Below are 21,543 nucleotides of genomic sequence, written 5' to 3'. Positions count from 1 at the left end.
TTTTTGTAGAGATGAGAGTCTCGCTATGTTGCCCAGGCTGGTTTTGAACTCCTGGGCTCAAGCGAGCCAGCCGTTTTGTGCTCCCAAAGTGCTGGGATTAGGGGGAGACTCTTTCTAGATGGCCTCTGGGGACTGTTCTCCTGCTCACACACCAGGTTTCAGCAGTGCTCAACCCCTTGCCGGTCCCCAAACAATCCACACAATCTCATGGTATTGACTTTTGCTCACACAGTTCTTTCCACCTAGAATGTTCTCTTTCCTAATCCAGCCGGCAAACTCCTACTTAACCTTTGACATCCAATTTAAGATCAGTGGTGGGTAAATTTTTTTTTCTGTAAAGGGCCAGAGAGAAATATTCCAGGCTTTGTGGGCCATGAGGTATCTGTCATGATTACTCAATTCTCCCACTGCAGAAAGCAGAAACGTGTGTAAACAAATGGCGTGGCTGTGTTCCAATAACACTTGTTTACAGAAACAGGTGGCAGGCAGGATAGTTTGCCCACTGCTGCTCAAGAATAATCTCACAAAGCTTCCCACAGGAAGGAGTTTGACAATGCCTTCTAGCAATGGCTTACGTATTTTATCGTAACACAAACTTGGACTGTAACGTACCTATAGCTGTGATGATTAAATGGGCTGGTGGTCAGACCATCATCTCTCACCTGGATTTCTTTTTCTTTCTTTCTTTCTTTCTTTCTTTTTTTTTGAGATGGAGTCTCACTCTGTCACCCAGGCTGGAGTACAGTGGCACTACCTCGGCTCACTGCAGTCTCTGCTTCCCGGGTTCAGGCAATTCTCTGCCTCAGCCTCCCGAGTAGCTGGGATTACACGTGCCCGCCACCATGCCTGGCTAATTTTTGTATTTTTAGTAGAGACGGGGGTTTCACCATCTTGGCCAGGCTGGTCTTGAACTCCTGACCTCGTGATCTGCCTGCTTCAGCCTCCCAAAGTGTTGGGATTATAGGCATGAGCCACCATGCCCGACCATGGATTTCTACAATAGCCTCCTCACTGGTCTCCCAGCCTCTGCCTTCCCTTACACTCTATTCTCACTGAACAGACATAAGCTGTTAAAGTGTAAATTCATTCTGGTCACTCCTCTGCTTAAAAACCTCTCATGGTTCCCTATTGCCCTGATATTGAAAGCCAAAGTCTTAAAATGGTTTCCAGTGTCCTACAAGTTCTACTCCCAATATCCTTTTAACCTCAACGTTATTGCCTACTACACCCCCACTGGCTCTCTACTCCAAAACAAAGCTATAATAGCCTCTTTGCTTTTCCTCTTAAAACAAGCCAGGCGGGCTTCTGCCTCAGGGCCTTTGTTCTTGCTCCATCTGGAACACTCTTTTCCTGGTTGTGCACATAGCTCACTCCTTCGCCTCCATCAGGTCTTTATTTAATTATCTCCCTTCTAACGCTTTTCCTGGCCCATCTAGTTAAAACTGTGACCCTCCCCGGTCTCTCCTTCCTGTGTTTACTCCCCAGCATTCCTCACCCTCTAACTCACTATATATTCCCCCAACTTTTTGTTTTGTTTTGTTTTGTTTTGTTTTGAGGCAGAGTCTCCTTCTGTTGCCCAAGCTGGCGTGCAGTGGCAAGATCTTGGCTCATTGCAACCTCTGCCTTCCGGGTTCAAGCGATTCTCCTGCCTCAGCCTCCCGAGTAGCTGGGATTACAGGTGCCAGCTGTCACGCCCAGCTAATTTTTGTATTTTTAGTAGAGACGGGGTTTCACCATGTTGGCCAGGCTGGTCTTGAACTCCTGACCTCAAGTGATCTGCCCGCCTCGGCCTCCCAAAGTGCTGGGATTACAGGCATGAGCCACTGTGCCCAGCTTCCTCCAACTTTTTAATTATAAAAATGTTCAGGCCAAGAACAGTGGTTCATGCCTATAATCCCAGCACTTTGGGAGGCTGAGGCAGGCAGATTGCTTGAGGCCAGGAGTTCGAGACCAGCCTAGGCAACATGGCGAAAAGCAGACTCTACCGAAAAAAAAAAAAAGCATAGTGGCCTGAACCTGTAGTCCCAGCTACTCAGGACACTGAGATGGGAGGATCGCTTGAGCCCAGGAGGCAGAGATTGCAGTCAGCCAAGATCACCCCACTGCACTCCAGCCTGGGTGAGAGAGCCAGACCCTGTCTCCAAAAAAAAAAAAAAAAGAAAGAAAGAAAGAAAAAGTTCAAACACACAGATAATTGGAGGACTAGTGCAAAGGTATTCAAATAGACATGCCCAGATCCCACAGTTAAGGTGCTTTGAATGTAAGATGCTAACATGATGACACCCTCACTCAAAGACATTAGCAAAACACACTCTCTGTTTCCTTCTCTATCTAGTTTATTCTCCGTCTTTCCCCACCAGGATGTGAGCAGCACAAAGGCAGGGATTTTTGTCCATTTTGTTCAGTGCCTGGGATTACACGTGCACCAAGAACACTGCCTGGCACATAATGAGTGCTCCTAGAGTTTGGAGAGAGAAAAGACAAGACAGGTGCTGATTCTGGTTCTGCCTCTCGTTGACACTGGCAACTGGCACTGCCTCTCATTGGCAACTCTGGGGATAATTTTCCCTTGTGGAACCTCATTCTCTTCATCTACAAAGTGGGGATGGCAGTACTATATCACAGGGCTGTTGCAAGGATAAAAAAGTAAGAAGTCGGCTGGGGGTGGTGGCTCACACCTGTAATCCCAGCACTTTGGGAGACTGAGGCGGGTGGATCCCCTGAGGTCAGGAGTTTGAGACCAGCCTGGCCAACTTGGTGAAACCTCGTTTCTATTAGAAATACAAAAATTAGCCAGGCGTGGTAGTGCACGCCTGTAATTCCAGCTACTCGGGAGGCTGAGGCAGGAGAATCAGTTAGAACCTGGGAGGTGGAGGTTGCCGTGAGCCAAGATCGCGCCACTGCGCTCCAGCCTGGGTGACAGAGGGAGACTCTGTCTCCAAAAAAAAGTAAAAGGTGTGATATTGCACTGTTAGCATGTTAGTTAGATTTCCATCTAGCTCCTTGAAGGAAAAGATTAGTCTAGTCTGACCCTCTGTGCTCTGGGCTCTTAGAGGGCAGACGCCCTCCCTGATGTATGGGAGGAGCCTAGCACAACACCTCAGGAGAAGTTCTTTTGACTTTAACTGCTAGCAGCTCCATCTGCTAGCACTACAGAACACACTCCCTCGTGCTTACTTGCCCCATCCCTTTACTTGCTCATTCAATGCTACCTAATAATCCCCTCTATTCCATCTTTTGATTTATCTACTCATTAAATGGTTTCCACCAGAAATACCTAGGGAAGGGATACTTAACTTCATCAGGTACTGAGATTCTATTTTGTGAATGTCTTCTGTGGATCTTTGACTGTTTCCAGCAATTGATCCAGCCTCTCTTGGCCTTTTCTGCATTTTATTATTTATTTATTTATTGAGATGGGGTCTTGCTCTGTCGCCTAGGCTGGAGGGCACTGGTGTGATCTCAGCTCACTGCAACCTCCACCTCCTGGGTTCAAGAGATTTTTCTGCCTCAGCCTCCCCAGTAGCTGGGATTACAGTTGCCTGCCACCACGCCTGACTAATTTTTTTGTATTTTTTTGTAGAGACGGGGTTTCACCATGTTGGTCAGAATGGTCTCGAACTCCTGACCTCAGGTAATCCACCCGCCTCAGCCTCCTAAAGTGTTGGGATTATAGGCATGAGCCACCACACCTGGCCCTTGTCTGCATTTTAGATTCACCTGTGTATCTGCATTTCCAAATGTGCTTTGCAAAATCCTGAATGCAAGGGTGGGTGTTTGTTGAAGAATGGGACACCTCATGTTGCCCCTGTGGGTTTTCTCAGGAAGGAAAGATTGCTTGGCAGTGCGTGGAATGCATGGCCTTTTGCAAGCTCCTTGATAACCATCGCTCTAACTTTGCTTGTTTGGGGTGTGGAGGCAAGATATTTTCATTGAGAATTCTGAGTCTTTATCCTTTTCTCTCCACTTCAAGCTGAAACTTTTTTTTTTTTTTTTTTGAGACATGGTCTCGCTCTGTCACCCAGGCTGGAGTGCAGGCGATCTTGGCTCACTGCATCCTTGACCCCCCGGCCTCCCCTGCACAGTAGCTGGGACCAAAGGCATGCAAGACCACACCTGGATAATTTTTGTATTTTTTTTAAAGACGAGGTTTCTCCATGTTGCACAAGCTGGTCTTGAACTCCTGAGCTCAAGTGATCTGCCCACCTCGGCCTCCCAAAGTGTTGGGATTACAGGCGTGAGCCACTGTGCGCAGTCAAGCTGAAACTCTTAAGCAAATTTTAAATCTTACTTTAAGGAACAATTTCCTCACCTGTAAAATGGGGACACGAGGATATGATGGAAGTGAAGTCACTTTGTAACTGGTAAAGCTCTGTACAGATATTAGTTAAGATGGTTAATTTCATTAACCTGTGAAGATTCTTAACTAAACCTTGCGCAAGTTGCATTGGCTGCCCTGTCTAGGCACTAATATCTTTAGACGGACTAAGGAGGAAACACACTTTTTTTTTTTTTGAGACAGAGTCTGGCTCTGTCACCCAGGCTGGAGTACAGTGGCATGATCTTGGCTCACTGCAACCTCTGCCTCCTGGGTTCAAGCAATTCTCCTGCCTCAGCCTCCTGAGCAGCTGGGACTACAGACTATGGCCAGCACACCCAGCTAATTATTTGTATTTTTAGTAGAGATGGGGTTTCACCATGTTGGTCAGGCTGGTCTCAAACTCCTGACCTCAAGTGATCCACCCGCCTCAGCCTCCCAAACTGCTGGGATTATAGGCGTGAGCCACCGCACCCGGCCTACACGCTTCTTTTCACAAGAATGACACCCGCAACTATACTTCCCACGTAAATGGAGAGCAGTCTGGCAGATTCATCTAGACCTAGGGTTGGGTGATTATTAGGGAAAGAAAAGGTCCAACCAAGCCAGTGGGCTGAAGAGAGGACATGACCTGCTCAGTCCGAAGCAGATGTGTGACTAAAGTCTAGTCTCCTGGCTTCTCTGCAAAATACCTCATTATCGGCATTATTAACCCTAACAACTGCCATTTATTGAAATCCCACTATGTGCACGAATGGGGACCAATTTACTTCTAGATATTACAACAATCTTGTATTACTGTGCCCACTTCCTGGATGATGGGTCTGAGGTTCACAGAGATCATTTGCCCAAGTTCCTACTGAAAGTGCTAAGGTATTTCCTGAGACTGGCTCAGGGTGTGTTGCCAGACAACAATGCACACATTTTTAACACAATACTAAACTTAGTATATTATACTTATGTTAAAAATTTCGGAGCCGGGCGTGGTGGCTCACGCCTGTAATCCCAGCACTTCGGGAGGCTGAGGCGGGCAGATCACTTGAGGTCAGGAGTTCGAGACCAGCCTGGCCAACATGGTGAAACCCCGTCTCTACTAAAAATACAAAAAATTAGCTGGGCGTAGTGGCGGGCGCCTGCAATCTCAGCTACGCGGGAGGCTGACGCAGGAGAATCGCTTGAATCCGGGAGGCGGAGGTTGCAGTGAGCGAGATCGTGCCACTGCACTCCAGCATGGTCGACAGAGCGAGACTTGTCTCAAAAAAAAAAAAAAAAAGGACATGTGGTAATTCCCCTAGGGAATTTGGCCTTAGTTGTGAAAAATAAAAAAGCTATAATCAATTTCTGTTCTATCGGAAAAAAATGTATTGGCTGTTTAGCTGAAATTCAAATGTAACTTAACATCCCGTATTTTTTATATGCTACATCTGGCAACCCTGGCTTGAGGCTACCTGGCAAAAATCAAAACAGGTTCCTCCTTGTTATGCCCTATGCCTCTGTTGCCTTTATTTTTATCTTTACGAGCAATCATTAACAGTAACTTCAGACTCCAGGCTCTGGTCGCTTTAGGAGGCGGAAGGCGGACTAGGGTAGGACTCCTGGCCCTCATCAACAGGACTGCCAAGAAGCCGGGCACCTTCTGCCCCGCACAAACATGGCCGCGCCTCGCCGCCGAGGATTGGCTCCCGCCGAAAGCTCGTCCTCCTGGCTAAGGGAGCCCCTTCCATTGGGCAGTTAAAAAAAATGGCGGACCCCGCCTCCCGCCGTCCTCGGGCGCGGGGGCGGAGCCTAGAGGAGGCCTGGGACAGGGCCACCAGTGATTGGCGGAGAGCGGTGGTCAGGCCATCACGTGGCCCGAGGCCCGTTTGTTTGCGGAAGTAGGAGGAAGTAGAAGTGCTGAGTAAGCCGAGGTGAGTGACCTCGCGGGTGGGCGGGGCCTGGGGGTCCGTTCCCCAACTTCCTCGGCGCTCCGGACTCCCAAGTCTCCGCCGGACCCTCCTTTGGATATTCCTCGTGTCTCCGATTCTGAGGCATGTCCTCCATTAACCCTTATGTGACTCCCTGAGTGCCCCCACCTTCCATCTTTTCATCCCCCTGCGTCCCCAATTCCCATCCCGAGACCGCCCGTGTCTCATCTCGAACTTGTGGACCCCAGGGACCCCAGCTTCGACCCTGAGTTTCTCCCCTGAACCCCAGTCTCCTCCGTGTGTCTCCCTCAGTATCCCTAACTTCCCGAGTCAATCCATCTCTTCTCTTTCCCCGACCCTCAGTGCCTCTTTAGGCCCCATTGGCCGTCCTAATTTTCCTTCCTGTGCTCCTCTAAGTGCTCACTTGATTCCCCACTTCACGTCCGTCTCCACCTTTCGTGGTGCCTCTACTCATTTCTCACTCCCTGCTTCTCCTGCCTTTCCTCCCTGCTTTTTTTCCTTGCCTTTCCTCTCTCGCGTGCCTCCAGACCTGCCCCCGACATGCTCCCTCCTTCCCCTCAGCCTGGCCACCCCAGAGTCTCCCACCCCTAATCCTGTGTCCACCTCCTGCTCCCACAGATGACTTGGAAGCTGGTGACAGGGAGCATGTGACCAGGGTGATCATGGGACTGGGTCGGGGCAAGCCTGTGGGTGTGGGACAGGGAGGGCACAGGGCAAGGGGACCTGTGGCCGTATTTTTAATGGGCTACCCACATGACCCCAACGAATACCTCCCCCTAGCTTCTGGGTCTTTCCCTCACCTGCCTCTTACCCGCCCAACAGGATGTCAGGCAGGTTCGGTTTGGCAACGTTGAGGCTGCACCCTTGGGCTGAATGCATTGTTTTTGAATGCATTGTTTTTGTTAGAGTTTCTGCCTGGAGTTTGGAACCTGTTTTCTGTCCAAGTCTCAGTTTCCTCATCTGTGACAGGGGAACTGTACCTCCTGCCCTCGTAAGTCTGCCATGAGGTTCAAAATTTGAATGAGAAAATGTAGAAGGTAAAGCTTTATAACCAGTATGGCCCTGTACAAATACATGATTTTACTGTTGGGTCATAGGCAGAATTGAAAGGAGTGGAAAGGGAAAGGGCTAGAATGAGAAGACAAGGAGAGAAGGATGAGCAGGAGGTCCCTTGTCTTTCAGTGTATCATTTGGCAGTGTTTGTTCATCACCTCTTGTGAGTCAGGCTCTTCTGTATATGTTCTCTTCACCATTCATTCAGTCATCGTTTATCTAACAAATATTTACGGACTGTCTGATGTTCTAGGCTACCCTTGGTGTGGCCAATGATATTCTCACTTCACATGAGAAAAAGAGGGCGCATGAGTTGCTTGAGGTCACACCGATGAGGTTGAAGCTGGAATCTGACACCAGAGCCTGTGTGATTGTCCTGATGTGTAAGGTTTGCTACTGTTTAGGACACTTCTTGTTCCTTCCGTGGATTACTTTCTTGTTACATGAGAGACTCCCCAAAAGGGAGTTTCCCTCTTACTCAGCAGAATGACATCACTAAGAGATACAGAAAGGAGAAATTTAAATACTCTGTGTGTGTGTGTGTGTGTGTGTGTGTGTGTGTGTGTGTGTGTCTGCAGACATCTATTGGGTGTGTGTGCTGGGGGAAGTAGGTAGGCAAGGAGTAAGGGGCCGTAGTGAAGAGTGTGTTACAAACTTCACTTTGTAGAGGGTGGCTCCCTGGGAGAATATGTTCTGTGTCTTTCACAGTGGATTTTGATAGGGTCATGTCTTAAATGCCTCTTCTCGTTTTCGGATGGTGATCTCATCCAGTCTTATTTCTTTAAGTGCCGTCTCTATTCTGTCAGCCCACAAATTTATATCCCCAGTCCAGTCCAGACCTTTCCCTGGAATGACATACTCAAATCTAGTTGCTTACTCAGCACCTCAAACTTAGGCTTTTCAAACTTGAAGTATTTATTTATTGATTTATTTATTTTTTGAGACAGAGTCTCACTCTGTCACCCAGGCTGGAATGCAATGGCACGATCTCGGCTCACTGCAACCTCCACCTCCTGATTCTCCTGCCTCAGCCTCCCAAGTAGCTGGGATTACAAGCATGCGCCATCATGCCCAACTAATTTTTGTATTTTTGTAGAGGCGGGGTTTCACCGTGTTGGCCAGGCTGGTCTCGAACTCCTGATCTCAAGTGATCCACCTGCCTTGGCCTCCCAAAGTGGTGGGATTACAGGTGTGAGCCACCGCGCCAGGCCTCAAACTTAAGAGTTTAGAATTGAGCTCCTGTTAGTTCTGCCCTCCATCCCTGACCCCACTCTTCACCAAAACATGTCCCTCCCACTCTCTTTCTCATCTTAGGACATAGGAGTATTGTTCATTCAGTTGCTCAGGTCAAAGCTGTGAGATTATCTATGATGCCTCTCTGTTTCTTACCCCACACCCAGCCAGAGTGATCTTGTTAAAATGTTGTTTCTTTGCAGTGGCCTCTCCTCTCATGGCACATGCCTGGCCCCCTGTTGCCTCTCTGATGTCACTGGCTTCCTTGCTTTTCCTGGAACTCGCTAAACATGTTCCAGCCCCATGGCCTTTGCACACGCTCTCTTTGCCTAGCTATTCATATGACTTTCATCTCTCTCCATCAGGTATTTATTTAAGATCAATTTCTTGGTGAAGACTTCTCTCCTCACCCAATCTAAAATTTCACTCTCCACCTCAGCACTTCCTATCCCCATTCTCTGGTTTTTCTCCTCAGTAGTTAATTGTCATCTAAAACCTTTGTAAATATTTACCTGTTTATCTTCTTTATTATTAGTAGCTCTGTCTAAAATATAAGTTCCAGGATGTCAGGGATTTTGTGGGGTTTTTTTTGGTTGGTTGGTTGTTTTGGTTTTGAGACAGGGTCTCACTCTGTTGCCCAGGCTGGAGCGCAGTGGTGCGATCTCAGCTCACTGCAGCCTCCGCCTCCTGGGTTTGAGTGATTCTCCCACCTCAGTCTCCCAGGAAGCTGGAATTACAGGTGCACGCCACCACACCCAGCTAATTTTTGTATTTTTTGGTAGAGATGGGGTTTCACTATGTTGGCCAGGCCGGTCTTGAACTCTTGACCTCAAGTGATCCACCCGCCTCGGCCTCCCAAAGTTCTGGGATTACTGGTGTGAGCCACCGCGCCCGGCCTTGTTTTGTTTTAAGACAGGGTCTCACTGTCGCTCAGGCTGGATTGCAGTGGCACAATCACAGCTCACTGCAGCCTCGACCTGCTAGACTTAAGCAATCCCCCCACCTCAGCCACCTTAGTAGCTGGGACTTACAGGCATGAGAGATACCATGCCTGGGTAATTGTTAAGTTTTTGTAGAGGTGAGGTCTCACTATATTACCCAGGCTGGTCTCAAAGTCCTGAGCTTAAGTGATCCTCCTTCCTTGGCCTCCTAAAGTGCTGGGATTACAGGAGTGAACTGCCGTGCCTGACCAGTCTGTTTTGTTTACGATTGTATCCTCAGCGGTTAGAACAATGCCTGCCACAATCCATCTCAGTAAATATTTGTGGAGTGAGTCATAACATGGGCCACACTGTACCGTGCCACCAGCCCAAAGATCTCTTAAAGTCACCCCTGTCTCATGTGCTTGGGAGCTCCAGTGACAGTTTCGGGGCAGTTTGCTTCCAGCTGTGGTCCAGCCAAGCGGAGTGAATGAAAGAGATGCTTTTTCCTTTTGTGAAAGGACGTTTTGCTCTGGCTCACGTGAGCAGCAGTGCATTTTGAGACGAGGGCCTTGGCTTTTGGAATCTAAGAGCCTGTTGAGCAAGCCTCGCTCAGCCACCTTCTTTCAGCTTTCTCCTGAAGGCAGTTTGAGGATTAAGAGCCTGATGCTCTGGATTCCACCTAATTGGGTTCAGATCCTGGCAAACTGTGTAACCTGTGCCCCAGTTTCCTGTGTAATGTGGAGAGACCTGGACCTTTTCTTACAGGTGTTTGGAGGGTTAAATGTGGCAATTCGGCCGGGCGCAGTGGCTCATGCCTGTAACCCCAGCACTTTGGGAGGTGGAGGTGGGCGGATCACCGGAGGTCAGGAGTTCAAGACCAGCCTGGTTAACATGGTGAAACCCCGTTTCTACTAAAAATACAAAAAATTAGCCGAGTGTGGTGGTGCGCGCCTGTAATCCCAGCTAGTCTGGAGACTGAGGCAGGAGAATCGCTTGAACCCGGGAGGCAGAGGTTGCAGTGAGCCAAGATCACGCCATTGCACTCCAGCTTGGGCAACAAGAGTGAAACTCTGTCTCAAAAAAAAAAAAAAAAAAAAAGTGGCAATTTACCCGAAACTGTGGTGAAGCGTCTGGCGCCCTGTGGGTGCTGGGCAGCAGTGGGTGCTGATGGGGTGTGAGGGGATGGGATCAAGCCCTTTCCCACTAACTTAGGAAAGAGGTTGGAATGAGCTGGGGTCAGAGGGAACATTTGCGGGGACATTTTGCCGGGAGGCTGCCTTGGAGGTTCAGAGGCTCAGATGACCCCTGTGTTCATTCAGTGTTTTCTCACCCACAGATTGAGCACCTGCTGTGTGGCCAGCCCTTTGCCTAGTGCTGTTCAAGAGTCAGAGGACATAGGCAGGCAATCCCCCACCACAACCTGCCACCCCATTTCCTCTCTTGGGGCCTTGATTTCTCCACATGCCAAACAGGGAGAATGATTGCACCTTCCTTGTTTCTTTTTTTTTTTTTTTGAGACAGTCTCACTTTGTCATCCAAGCTTTAGTGCAGTGGCATGATCTCGGCTCACTGCAGCCTCTGCCTCTCGGGTTCAAAGATTCTCCTGCTTCAGCCTCCCAAGTAGCTGTGATTATAGGCACCCACCATCACGCCAGGCTAATTTTTTTTGTAGTTTTAGTAGAGATGGGGTTTTTTTCTCACACGTTGGCCAGGCTGGTCTTGAACTTCTGACCTCAGGTGATCTGCCCATCTCACCCTCCCAAAGTGCTGGGATTACAGGTGTGAGCCACCGCGCCCGGCTGCGCCTTCCCTGTTTCTTTGTGAGCTTGGAGGTGGATCACAAGTGTGAAACCCTTTGCCAACCGTGAGGCATGGTGGCCTTGTGAGAGGACGGAGGCCGGTGTGTGGTGGCATGCTCCCGTGCTGTGTGGCACAGACGGAGCTACAGGAAGGAAGTTGGGGCAGCTTGGCACTCTGAGTGGACCCTGAGTTTCCAGCCTGCTCTGTCTTGACTGGGTGGGAGGAGGGTGCTCAGGAGGGTGTCACTGCTGCCAGGTTCTGCTGCCAGGACCATCCAACAGTTGTTCCAATCATGGGACATCCTGTCGTCAGCAGCTGGGGCTCGTGAGGCCTGATTTCCACCTCGGGCAGTTCTGTGTGTGCTCCTGGAATCCCCCACGTGGCCAAGCCTGTGAGGTCTGCTTCCTGGCCTGCTGCCTGTGGGTTCCTGTCACGCACCTCTCGGGCAGCTGTCCGGCTCCTCTGCTCTCGGCTTAGTCAAGAAGGAAGCAGAAGGCTTGGAGTCTTTCCTGCTTGGACTAGGAGTGAGCTCAGCCTAAGTGCCCTGACTATATATAAAGCTGAACTTTCCAGACCGAAGCCTGGGGATGGATCAGTCCGATCACTTAGGGCCGCTCCTGAAGGAGTGCAGGTGCTAGATACAGGTTCTCCCGGTGGAGGAGCGAACCCCTTGTGGGCCGTTAGCTACTGGTGGGATTTGAGCATGGTATTTCCCTATCCGTTGTGGAGAGGAGCATGGCAGCTCAGAGTGGGTGGGAACAGTGTGTGGTCCCTGTTATCACCTTCAAGGGAATAAAGTGTGTCTGGGGGCTTCAGAGGTGCTGGCCCCATGGGCTTATAGGTGGTTCATTCATTCATTCTCATTCATTCATTCACCAAACTTATTAAACACCCACTGTGAGTCAGGAACATCATGCCAGGTGCTTAGGGAAACAAATCAAAGCGGGTTGGGTGAGCAGCCCAAGCCAACAGATGCACCCCCATTCTCACATGGTGTGTGTTCCTGTGGGCTGGGCCCTGGGTGGTGTGGGGTGCTGGGGAGAAGAGGAAGGCACACCAGGCTGCAGGGCGGAGGTGCGGGTATGAATTTTCAGAGGAGATGGCACCTGAGCTGTATCTTCATGGATAAGAAGAGATTTGTTCATTTGTCCTTTGTGGAGCACACATTCAGGTTAAGAAAGTGGGGAGGATGGGCTACGCTGATGGAGCGTATGTGTGGTATCCCCAAGTGCACTGAGACACGAGTTTGACGTGTTCTGGGAAGATCGATGGTGCGGCGTGGCTGGAGTAGAGGTGAGGGATGAGTTGGAGGGGTGAGTTGGGCCAGCTCTCATGGATGCTGGAGTCTGGGCTTTCCCTGGGAGGTCATGGGGCGCCACTGGCCAGGGTCAGCAGGGAGACCTGCAGCTGGATTTGCATCGTACAGTGGGCATGGAGGGGTGTCAGGCTGGGTTGGGAACCGTGCAGGCTGGAAGGGCACTCTGGTGCTCTGAGCATTCAGAGGGGGCAGCTGGGCCTTGAAGGATGAGCAGGGGCTCCAGCAGGAACTGGAGAGCGCATTCCAGGGAGGACGCAAGTGCAGGCCCCTTTCACTACAGAAAAGCAGTTTTCACACAGACCTTCCAAAGGGGAGGAGAGGGGACTGCCTGGGCCTGGCAGCTGCGGCAGGTAGCAGCAATCAGAGGGCAGGGACCGCTCCTCCCGTGCCTGAGACCTGCCCAGGGTCCTTCAGGGAATTCGTAGCTGAGGAGGAACCAGATTTTTGGGACTGAGTTCTCCCTCACCACCCGCTCTGAGCCACCCTCTTGGTCCCTTGTCCTCTACTGCACTTCTTCCGGGGCTTGGCTCCTCGTCATGAGAGGAGCTTCCCTGGGCATGGCGAGGGGCGTGACTGACATAGCAGCCCTGGACAAGTGGCTCCAGGTGACCTGTGTTCACGTTGATCACAGCACTAACCACGGCCCCTCCTCTCAGCACCTTCCCCTCTCGAGCCGTCCAGTCCCAGTGAAAATGCTCACCGTTCATGGGTGGGCTGAGCAAGCCCCTGATCTCTGCCTTCCTCCGTGTTCTGATCTGCTTCATCTGCTGTGAAGGCCTCTCGCCATTTCCCCCGCTGGCAAACTCCTGTTCTTCCTGGAAAGTTCAGCTAAAAAGTCATCCCCTTTAGGGGTCCTTCCCTCAGGGGACCGTGCACTTGGCGAGACAGGGACTGGTCTTGGGTCTCTCTGTTGACTGTTTTATGAACCCAGGTAGTCACTTCCAGGGAACTCATCAGAGATGCTACCATTGGCTCCAATCTCCCTCTGTTCCCACTCGAGGTTTTTTGTTTCTTCGTTTGTTTTTCTTTCTTTCTTTTTTTTTGAGACAGAGTCTCGCTCTCGCCCAGGCTGGAGTGCAGTGACATGATCTCGGCTCACTGCAAGCTCCGCCTCCCGGGTTCACGCCATTCTCCTGCCTCAGCCTCCCGAATAGCTGGGACTACAGGCACCCGCCACCACGCCCAGCTAATTTTTTTTGTATTTTTAGTAGAGACGGGGTTTCACCATGTTAGCCAGGATGGTCTCAATCTCCTGATTTCGTGATCCGCCCGCCTTAACCTCCCAAAGTGCTGGGATTACAGGCGTGAGCCACTGCGCCCAGCCCGTTTGTTTTTGTTTTTTGGTGGACATCAACTTTAATTTGCCCTTTGTTTTGTTTTGTTTTTGAGGCAGGGTCTTGCTCTGTCTCCCAGGCTGGAGTGCAGTAGTGCAATCTTGGCTCACTGCAGTCTCGACCTCAAGAGGATCAAGCAATCCTCTTGCCTTAGCCTCCCGAGTAGCTGGGACCACAGGCGCACACCACCATGCCCAGCTAATTTTATTTTATATTTTGTAGAGACAGGGTTTTGCCATGTTCCCCAGGCTGGTCTCAAATTCCTGGGCTCAAGCAATCCGTCTGCCTCAGCCTCCCAAAATGCTGGAATTACAGGCACGAGCCACTGTGCCCGGCCTTAATTTGCCCTTTGAACATGTACAATTCAGGGCCTCTCTGGGCCTCAGTTTCTTGATCTCTGAGATGGGAAGATGGGATAATAATACTTGTTCCTCCCGTCCTTCAGCTCCTCCAGGGGACCCTCACACCAGCACACTCTCTGTCAGTCTTCCCTCAATGAACCCAGCAGGCAAGCTTGGTTTTGACAGAGGATGGGTGAGCAGAGATAAGGAAAACGGCCAGAAATATCTGGCTTCCCTCAGCAGGGGCACCAAAATTGGTACCTGGAAATTGCCTGGCTTGGACAGGCAGAATTGTCACTGTCAACCCCCACCACCAAAGGTCTTGGGTCTTTGTCTTTCTGCTTGTGGTGTTTGAGAGAGCTGCTTGACACAGCCGAGGTGCGGTCTGTGTCAGGTGACCTGGGCATCCTGGGGGTGCAGGGAGAAGCCCAGGTAAGGAGGAGGAGGGGCCGGTCATCAGTGGGGAAAAGTGATTGTCTACCCCACGGGAAGGTCAAGGGTAGGACGCTGTGAGAAGCCAGGGGGAGAGATGAAGTGAGGCATGATGCGGGGGGCCCTCATCCACCATCCCCCTCTTGCAGCTGTGCTGGGAAGAGCCTAGGCTCCAGGGTCCAAGGTGGCAGGGACAGAAGGAAGCACGTGTGAGCACTTTCTCCCTGCTGGCCCGCCTTCCTGGTTGGCAATGCCGTGAGTGTTCCAGGATGTGGCCCCGTGGCTGTCATTTCCTTTCTTCCACCTAGTGATAACAATGGCCACTGTTTGTGTGCCCACAGTCGGCCTGTGTCCCAGACACCTTCCCTCCATTGCGTCATCTCGTCCTCCTGCCTACCCTGAAGGCTGGATGCCAGCCAAGCCTGTCGTTTCTGTGGCCATGCTGTCGTGGGTGTGTGGGGGGCATCCCCTAGCCCCAGGCTCTGGTGGGGGGTACACAGGCTGGGCCATTGACGAAGGGGTGTGTGGAATCTTTCTTTGATTTCACTGCACCCCTGGTGACTTTCTCCCTCAATCTGAGGCTCATGGGTGCTGGATGCTCTTGACTCTCTGCCCTTCCTGGGCGCACCCCTCCGCGTCCCTGTGGGCCCGTCCTCGGGGTAGCCTCTCTGCGCTCTTCCAGGCCAGGCCTGAGTCCCACAGGTCCCCATCTTCCCGGCTGCAGCCCCCAGAGGCTCAGCCTATACTGCTACTTCCTTTGAAAACTATAATCGCTTTACATAGCATCTGGAAAATAGGGAAAAGGAAAAAACAAAAGCCCATAAACCCAGCACCCTCATCTACTCAATGGCATGTTTTCTGTCAGTCTATCTTGGTTTGTTTTCTATCAGGCTTTGTTTTTTCTATGCATAATATTTACTCAGTTAAATTTTTGTTTTGACAAACTTTCTGTGAGCCAAGCTTGTGGACGGAGATGAAAAGACGAGCAGCTGCCTTTGAGAAACTCAGACTCTGGGCCAGCCCATCTGGGTGCCAGCTTTCACTGCTCCACCCACTAGCTGGGTGACCCTGGGCCCGTGACTTTACCCCTCTGTTCTTTGGTGTTCTCATATGTAAAATGAGGATAATAATAGTAACCAGTTCATAGAGTGGTTGTCAGACAGAATGATTAATGTACGTAAAGCTTTCAGGATGGTGCCAGCAAGATGCACAGGAGTGTTTGGTAGGAGGATGACGAAGCTTACCGTCTGGCAGGAGGGGCAGTTGTAACATGCTGGGCTGTGATAGTACAGATGTGTTTAAAGTGAGGGAGAGCCCAGAGCAAGGAGAGAGAACCTGGCATCTGGTGATGGTGTATCAAGAACATTTTAGGCCAGACACGGTGACTCACACCTGTAATCCCAGCACTTTGAGAGGCTGAGGCAGGCAGATCGCTTGAACCCGGGCGTTCGAGACCAGCCTGAGCAACGTGGTAAGACCCTGTCTTTATAATTTTTTTTTTTTTTTTTCTGAGACGGAGTCTTCACTCTGTCACCTAGGCTGGAGTGCGGTGGTGCTATCTTGGCTCACTGCAACCTCCACCTCCCGGGCTCAAGTGATTCTCCTGCCTCAGTCTCCCAAGTAGCTGGGATTATAGGTGCCCACCACCATGCCCAGCTAATTTTTTTATATTTTTAGTAGAGACGGAGTTTCACCATGTTGGTCAGGCTGGTCTCAAATTCCTGACCTCAAGTGATCTGCCCTCCTCAGCCTCCCAGAGTGCTGGGATTACGGGCATGAGCCACCATGCCTGGCCTCTATAAAAATTGTTTGGAAGAAATTACCTAGGCCTGGTGATACACACCTGTAGTCCTAGCTACTCAGGAGGCTGAGGTGGAAGGAGGTAGAGGCTGCAGTGAGCCATGATTGAGCCACTGTACTCCAGCCTGGGCAACAGAGCCAGACCCTGTTTCAAAACAACAACAACAAAAACATTTTTAAGGAGGAGGCTGAGAACCACGAGAACCAAGCTTGGATTTGAAGAAGGATCAGGGCTTTCTCAGACAGAAAAGGAGAGGAAGAACATTCCAGATAGACATCATTGAGAGATGGCACTGAGCCTTGTAATGGGACACTGCGAACTTTTCTTCAGTTGTTATGATCTTTTTTTTTTTTTTTTTGAGACGGAGTTTCGCTCTTGTTGCCCAGGCTGGAGTGCAATGGCGCCATCTCAGCTCACCGCAACCTCCGCCTCCCAGGTTCAAGCGATTCTTCTGCCTCAGCCTCCCAAGTAGCTGGGATTACAGGCATGCGCCACCATGCCTGGCTAATTTTTTGTATTTTTAGTAGAGACGGGGTTTCTCCATGTTGGTCAGGCTGGTCTCAAACTCCTGACCTCAGGTGATCCGCCCGAGTCGGCCTCCCAAAGTGCTGGGATTACAGGCGTGAACCACCGTGCCTTGTTGGTATAATTATTAGTATTGATCTTTTTTCCTTTTCATGTGCCTCTTAGTGGGCCCCTTGCTTTTGTCTTCCTTCTGTCCCCAGGGTTGATCCTGTGCTCAGCACATAGGCCAGGGAAGAATGTGGCTGTGACCCAGTGTCCACTCAGATGTCCTCTCTCCCCCAGGGCACCCATACTCTGTCCTTAGTGTCTTTTGTCTGGTGACATCTTGGCACAGAGGCAGAGGGCGGCCTCCGTCTGATTGGCGCCTGGCTTTGGTGACAGTACCTTAGGAAGGCAGTGTATTTTCTGGGAACCTAGGAAATAACAAGGTATCTAATTCCATCATCAACACTGGGGACAATTTCCATGGCAGAAACTATGACTCTGAATATGCAGCGTAAAGTTACCACCCAGACACTGCTGCTCCTGAGTCTCGAATGGCATCTTCTGCAGGGGCTCCCCCACCTGCCCCTGCAGAAGGTGCAGTTCGTTCATTTCCAAGGAGCTTGCTTTTGTGTGCTGTCTCTCGGAGCTCTTTGGGAAACCTGTGGTAGCAGGAAACAAAGGATTTAGACCAATGCCGATGATCCCCTTGCTCCGATAGAGTGTGACATGATGCTGGTCACCTTTTGGTATCTAGGAGGGGGGACATTGATTTTGTTTGCGGAAGTGAAATGATCCATGCTGGCCTCTTTTTTTTTTTTTTTTTTTGAGACAGAGTCACCCTATCGCCCAGGCTGGAGTGCAGTGGCGCGATCTCAGCTCACTGCAACCTCTGCCTCCCGGGTTCAAGTGATTCTCCTGCCTCAGCTTCCCGGGCAGCTGGGACTACAGGCGCCTGCCACCACATCTGGCTAATTTTTGTATTTTTAGTAGAGGCAGGGTTTCGCCATGTTGGCCAGGCTGGTCTCGAATTTCTGACCTCAAATGATCCGCCCGCCTCAGCCTCTCGAAGTGCTGGGATTACATGCCTGAGCCACTGTGTCTGGTCCATACTAGCCTCTTTGAGTGCTGAAAGGTTATCTCTGTAACTTATTTAGTGAGAACCCTCCATTTGCCCAGGGCATTACTGCCTATAATGTATGTTCACATGTGCTATCTCCTTTGGTCAATACCACACACTACAGGTGAGGAAACTGAGTCTCTGCTGGGACACTGGGTCAGGAAGCAGGCAGTTAAGGTCACCTGTGCACAGTGGCAGCACAGGGGGACAGCCTTCTAGGTAGCCAGCCTGGCCTGAGGGTTCTGTCACTTTTACCTCCCACTCAGTGTTGTTTCTCTTTCTTTCCCCTCCTTTTAAGATCCCTCCAGGCCCAGGATCTGGGGACAACGCTGGTGGGGAGTGATCTGGGTGTCTGTGCAGGAAACCGCTGCACTGGGTGAGATGGGCATGGGAGACTGTGCCTGGCTGACCAGAGACCTCGTTTTCTTCCAGACAGAGGGGGAAGACGGTGGGGCCTCCCCACCTGCCCCGCAGAAGATGCAGTTCTTTGGCCGCCTGGTCAATACCTTCAGTGGCGTCACCAACTTGTTCTCTAACCCATTCCGGGTGAAGGAGGTGGCTGTGGCCGACTACACCTCGAGTGACCGAGTTCGGGAGGAAGGGCAGCTGATTCTGTTCCAGAACACTCCCAACCGCACCTGGGACTGCGTCCTGGTCAACCCCAGGAACTCACAGAGTGGATTCCGGTGGGTGATGCTCAGCGGGAACATACTTCTCTCCTTTCACTCCCCCACGTCTCGGATTGGAGGTCTTATTGGCCGAGAAGCAGTTTCTTTGAGTCTCTGTCTGAGGGGTCTGGAGAGGGGTGGGAGAGAGGGGAGACTGTACTCTTGGACCAGAGGGAAGGGCTTCCGAGACTCCACACTTCTGGCCCATCAGTGTCCCAGCACGAGGCTGAGGATGGAAGCCTGGGTTGTTTCTGGCCTGGAGGCTCGACCTATATGGACAAAGGGAAGAAGGAAGGACAGGGAGACTGAGAGTGTCCACATCAGATAAGGCCCATGGGGAGAACCTTTAGCCCTGGCTCTTTATTTTTGGTTTTGGTTTTTGTTTTTTGAGACAGTCTTGCTCTGTTGCCCAGGCTGGAGTGCAGTGGCGCAATCTCGGCTCACTGCAACCTCTGCCTCCCAGGTTCAAGCGATTCTCCTGCCTCAGCCTCCTGAGTAGCTGGGATTACAGGCACCCACCACCACGCCCAGCTGATTTTTGTATTTTTAGCAGAGACGGGGTTTCATCATATTGGCCAGGCTGGTCTCAAACTCCTGACCTCAGGTGATCTGCCCACCTTGGCCTCCCAAAGTGCTGGGATTGCAGGCGTGAGCCACTGCACCTGGCCTAGCCCTGGCTCTTTAAGGGCATGGCCGTTCTCATAGGGGCTGCCCAGGGTTTGCTTAGGAAGGCTGGACAGAGCTGTTGCCTCTTGGGGCATGCTGGGACTCCCCTGGGCCTGAAGAGAAGGCTCAAAAGCCAGGACAGGCCTGAGGGAACCGGGCCAACGGCAGAGCTGGTTGGGAAAAGGGGAGAAGCAGCCAAGGTTCCAAATGCAGGCCCCAGCAGTGCTTGGCAGACTGGCATCTAGTTGGGCTCAGACAGATATCCCTGTTTCCGCTCACCTATCCATCTGGCTGTCCTGTCAGCCATCCATTCAACATGCACCAAGCACCTCCAGTGTCTCCAGAGTCCTGGGCTTCGGGCCAGTCCTGGCTGGCCTGTGAGATGACAAACATGTCCTGTGTCTTTAAGGAACGTACAGTCTGGTGGGGGAGGTCCGGTGCAAACAGGCGTCATAGCACCCCTTGAGGAGTGCTGTGACAGAGGGAGAGCCTAGGAAACAGTGTGGATCACAAGGAGGTGATTGAGAGCTACTCTGCGTCTGGAAGAGTGAGGAGGAGCCTGTGTGGCAGAACAAAATGGATAAGGTCGTTCCAGCCGTGCAGAAGTGTGGAGGTGTGAGCCTGCAGGCAGGTGGCTCTGGTTGGATCCCAGGTGCATGCAGGGCTTTGGTGAGAGTGAGGCTGAAGGAAGCAGCTGGGGACTCATTCTGACTAAAGAGGCATGGCAGGAGGGGTCTCTGAAAGTGTCAGGCTGGGGGCCAGGGGCTGCCACCAACAGAAGAGCAAGGCAGGTATCAGGGCCCCATCCAATCAGGTGAGAATTCAGAGCCTGGCTCCACAAGGAACCTGAGGCAGAGGCACCCACAGCAGGTGCTTGGGCTAAATGCAGCTCAGTGGCCAGTGCAGGCACCAGTTTTAATACAGTGGGGCCATTCCAGATTCTGAGTGCAGATGGGGCTGAGCAGACCGCCTTCCAGCTGGACTCGATCAGGACTGACCCTGGACGGGGCAGGCTTGCACTTGTAGCTTCAGAGCTCCACTGCAGGCACAGCTGACCAGGGCAGCGGGTCCACTCCTTGGAGAGCTGGACAGCCCCACTTTTGAGGTACACGGCCCTGGGGATACCACTAATCTCCACGTACCAATAATCACCAAGTTCTGTCAGTTGTAAAATCCCTTGACAGGATTCCAGATTTGTCTCAGCCAGCTTAAGCCCCAGTGTGGGCAGACCTCCATCCCAGGAGGATTTAGTCCTTTGTCAGCAGCTTCTTAGCTACACGTAAGCTATTCTGTGGTACTTTATAGTTTACAGGATTTTTTGTTTTCTTTTTTTTTTTTTTTTGAGACAGAGTCTCGCTCTGTCACCCAGGCTGGAGTACAGTGACGCGATCTCGGCTTACTGCAAGCTCCGCCTCCCAGGTTCACGCCATTCTCCTGCCTCAGCCTCCCAAGTAGCTGGGACTACAGGCACCCGCCACCACGCCTGGCTAATATTTTGTATTTTTAGTAGAGATGGGGTTTCACCATGTTAGCCAGGATGGTCTCAATCTCCTGACCTCGTGATCCGCCTGCCTCGGCCTCCCAAAGTGCTGGGATTACAATTTTACAGGATGTTTTTAAGTATGTTGGGTTAGCACATTCTCTGCCAATCCGTGGAGGTGGGCAAGGAAGGCAGTATTCCATTTTATGCATGAGAAAATAGCCTTGGGATGATAAGTGATTCATCCCACTTATACACAGGAAGCAGTGAAGAAACAGAATCAGTGTCTTCTGGTTCCCAATTCATTTCTCTGTGCTGCTGTGTTGTTTCCATGTATGTATGTATGTATTTATTTTTTTGAGACGTTAAGTCTTGCTCTGTTGCCCAGGCTGGAGTGCAGTGGCATGATCTTGGCTTACAGCAACCTCTGCCTCCTGGGTTCAAGCTATTCTTCTGCCTCAGCCTCCCGAGTAGCTGAGACTACAGGTGCGTGCCACCATACCTGGCTAATTTTTGTGTTTTTTAGTAGAGACAGGGTTTCACTGTGTTAGCCAGGATGGTCTTGAACTCCTGACCTCGTGATCTGCCTGCCTTGGCCTCCCAAAGTGCTGGGATTACAGGCAT

At 51.1% G+C, this 21,543-nt stretch overlaps 1 protein-coding gene across 9 annotated transcripts in view, besides 14 other annotated features; it reads left to right on the top strand.

The window, feature by feature from the left end:
• Nucleotides 3,027–3,171: an enhancer, noted in NCBI's record as "145 bp 22:38580917 sequence used in MPRA reporter constructs". NCBI's record gives its function as "activates a minimal TATA-containing promoter with rs13056506 allelic activity by MPRAs in C283T melanocytes and UACC903 melanoma cells {active_cell/tissue: C283T | UACC903}" and the evidence as "EXISTENCE:reporter gene assay evidence [ECO:0000049][PMID:36423637]".
• Nucleotide 3,099: a transcriptional cis regulatory region, noted in NCBI's record as "rs13056506 or 22:38580917 MPRA-significant variant associated with a GWAS melanoma risk locus at 22q13.1". NCBI's record gives its function as "allelic transcriptional activity by MPRAs in C283T melanocytes and UACC903 melanoma cells {active_cell/tissue: C283T | UACC903}" and the evidence as "EXISTENCE:reporter gene assay evidence [ECO:0000049][PMID:36423637]".
• Nucleotides 5,907–6,016: an enhancer, noted in NCBI's record as "active region_18998". NCBI's record gives its function as "activates an Ori minimal core promoter by ATAC-STARR-seq in GM12878 lymphoblastoid cells {active_cell/tissue: GM12878}" and the evidence as "EXISTENCE:reporter gene assay evidence [ECO:0000049][PMID:35858748]".
• Nucleotides 5,907–6,626: a biological region, named in NCBI's record as "Sharpr-MPRA regulatory region 6169".
• Nucleotides 5,933–6,227: an enhancer, noted in NCBI's record as "tiled region #6169; HepG2 Activating DNase unmatched - State 1:Tss, and K562 Activating DNase unmatched - State 1:Tss". NCBI's record gives its function as "activates a minimal TATA promoter and a strong SV40 promoter by Sharpr-MPRA in HepG2 and K562 cells {active_cell/tissue: HepG2 | K562}" and the evidence as "EXISTENCE:reporter gene assay evidence [ECO:0000049][PMID:27701403]".
• Nucleotides 6,177–6,626: an enhancer, noted in NCBI's record as "active region_18997". NCBI's record gives its function as "activates an Ori minimal core promoter by ATAC-STARR-seq in GM12878 lymphoblastoid cells {active_cell/tissue: GM12878}" and the evidence as "EXISTENCE:reporter gene assay evidence [ECO:0000049][PMID:35858748]".
• Nucleotides 6,179–21,543, top strand: part of PLA2G6 (phospholipase A2 group VI) — a 70,336-nt gene continuing 54,971 nt past the window's right edge. For 3 of the 9 annotated variants that reach the window (NM_001199562.3, NM_001349869.2, NM_001349867.2), the window contains exons 1-2: nucleotides 6,179–6,225; nucleotides 18,538–18,791. In NM_001199562.3, the coding sequence (NP_001186491.1) occupies nucleotides 18,583–18,791 (209 nt within the window). In that variant the 5' untranslated portion in view covers nucleotides 6,179–6,225; nucleotides 18,538–18,582. Of the gene's footprint in view, nucleotides 6,346–18,537; nucleotides 18,792–21,543 lie in introns of all 9 variants that reach the window. The other 6 variants (NM_001349868.2, NM_001349866.2, NM_001349865.2 and 3 more) reach the window with 3 other exon arrangements.
• Nucleotides 7,257–7,326: an enhancer, noted in NCBI's record as "active region_18996". NCBI's record gives its function as "activates an Ori minimal core promoter by ATAC-STARR-seq in GM12878 lymphoblastoid cells {active_cell/tissue: GM12878}" and the evidence as "EXISTENCE:reporter gene assay evidence [ECO:0000049][PMID:35858748]".
• Nucleotides 7,607–7,776: an enhancer, noted in NCBI's record as "active region_18995". NCBI's record gives its function as "activates an Ori minimal core promoter by ATAC-STARR-seq in GM12878 lymphoblastoid cells {active_cell/tissue: GM12878}" and the evidence as "EXISTENCE:reporter gene assay evidence [ECO:0000049][PMID:35858748]".
• Nucleotides 11,483–11,772: an enhancer, noted in NCBI's record as "active region_18994". NCBI's record gives its function as "activates an Ori minimal core promoter by ATAC-STARR-seq in GM12878 lymphoblastoid cells {active_cell/tissue: GM12878}" and the evidence as "EXISTENCE:reporter gene assay evidence [ECO:0000049][PMID:35858748]".
• Nucleotides 11,504–11,648: an enhancer, noted in NCBI's record as "145 bp 22:38572440 oligo used in MPRA reporter constructs". NCBI's record gives its function as "activates a minimal TATA-containing promoter with rs4384 allelic activity by MPRAs in UACC903 melanoma cells {active_cell/tissue: UACC903}" and the evidence as "EXISTENCE:reporter gene assay evidence [ECO:0000049][PMID:36423637]".
• Nucleotides 11,520–11,712: a transcriptional cis regulatory region, noted in NCBI's record as "rs4384-gRNA-G1, rs4384-gRNA-G2 and rs4384-gRNA-G3 region targeted for CRISPR interference". NCBI's record gives its function as "positively regulates MAFF gene expression in UACC903 melanoma cells {active_cell/tissue: UACC903}" and the evidence as "EXISTENCE:mutant phenotype evidence [ECO:0000015][PMID:36423637]".
• Nucleotide 11,576: a transcriptional cis regulatory region, noted in NCBI's record as "rs4384 or 22:38572440 MPRA-significant variant associated with a GWAS melanoma risk locus at 22q13.1". NCBI's record gives its function as "allelic transcriptional activity by MPRAs in UACC903 melanoma cells {active_cell/tissue: UACC903}" and the evidence as "EXISTENCE:reporter gene assay evidence [ECO:0000049][PMID:36423637]".
• Nucleotides 13,755–13,899: an enhancer, noted in NCBI's record as "145 bp 22:38570189 sequence used in MPRA reporter constructs". NCBI's record gives its function as "activates a minimal TATA-containing promoter with rs133010 allelic activity by MPRAs in UACC903 melanoma cells {active_cell/tissue: UACC903}" and the evidence as "EXISTENCE:reporter gene assay evidence [ECO:0000049][PMID:36423637]".
• Nucleotide 13,827: a transcriptional cis regulatory region, noted in NCBI's record as "rs133010 or 22:38570189 MPRA-significant variant associated with a GWAS melanoma risk locus at 22q13.1". NCBI's record gives its function as "allelic transcriptional activity by MPRAs in UACC903 melanoma cells {active_cell/tissue: UACC903}" and the evidence as "EXISTENCE:reporter gene assay evidence [ECO:0000049][PMID:36423637]".

Source organism: Homo sapiens, chromosome 22 (assembly GCF_000001405.40).
Source record: "Homo sapiens chromosome 22, GRCh38.p14 Primary Assembly".
Classification (NCBI taxonomy): domain Eukaryota; kingdom Metazoa; phylum Chordata; class Mammalia; order Primates; family Hominidae; genus Homo; species Homo sapiens.
The sequence above is the reverse complement of the archived record's forward strand: the minus strand, read 5'-3'. Positions and strand labels throughout refer to the sequence as shown.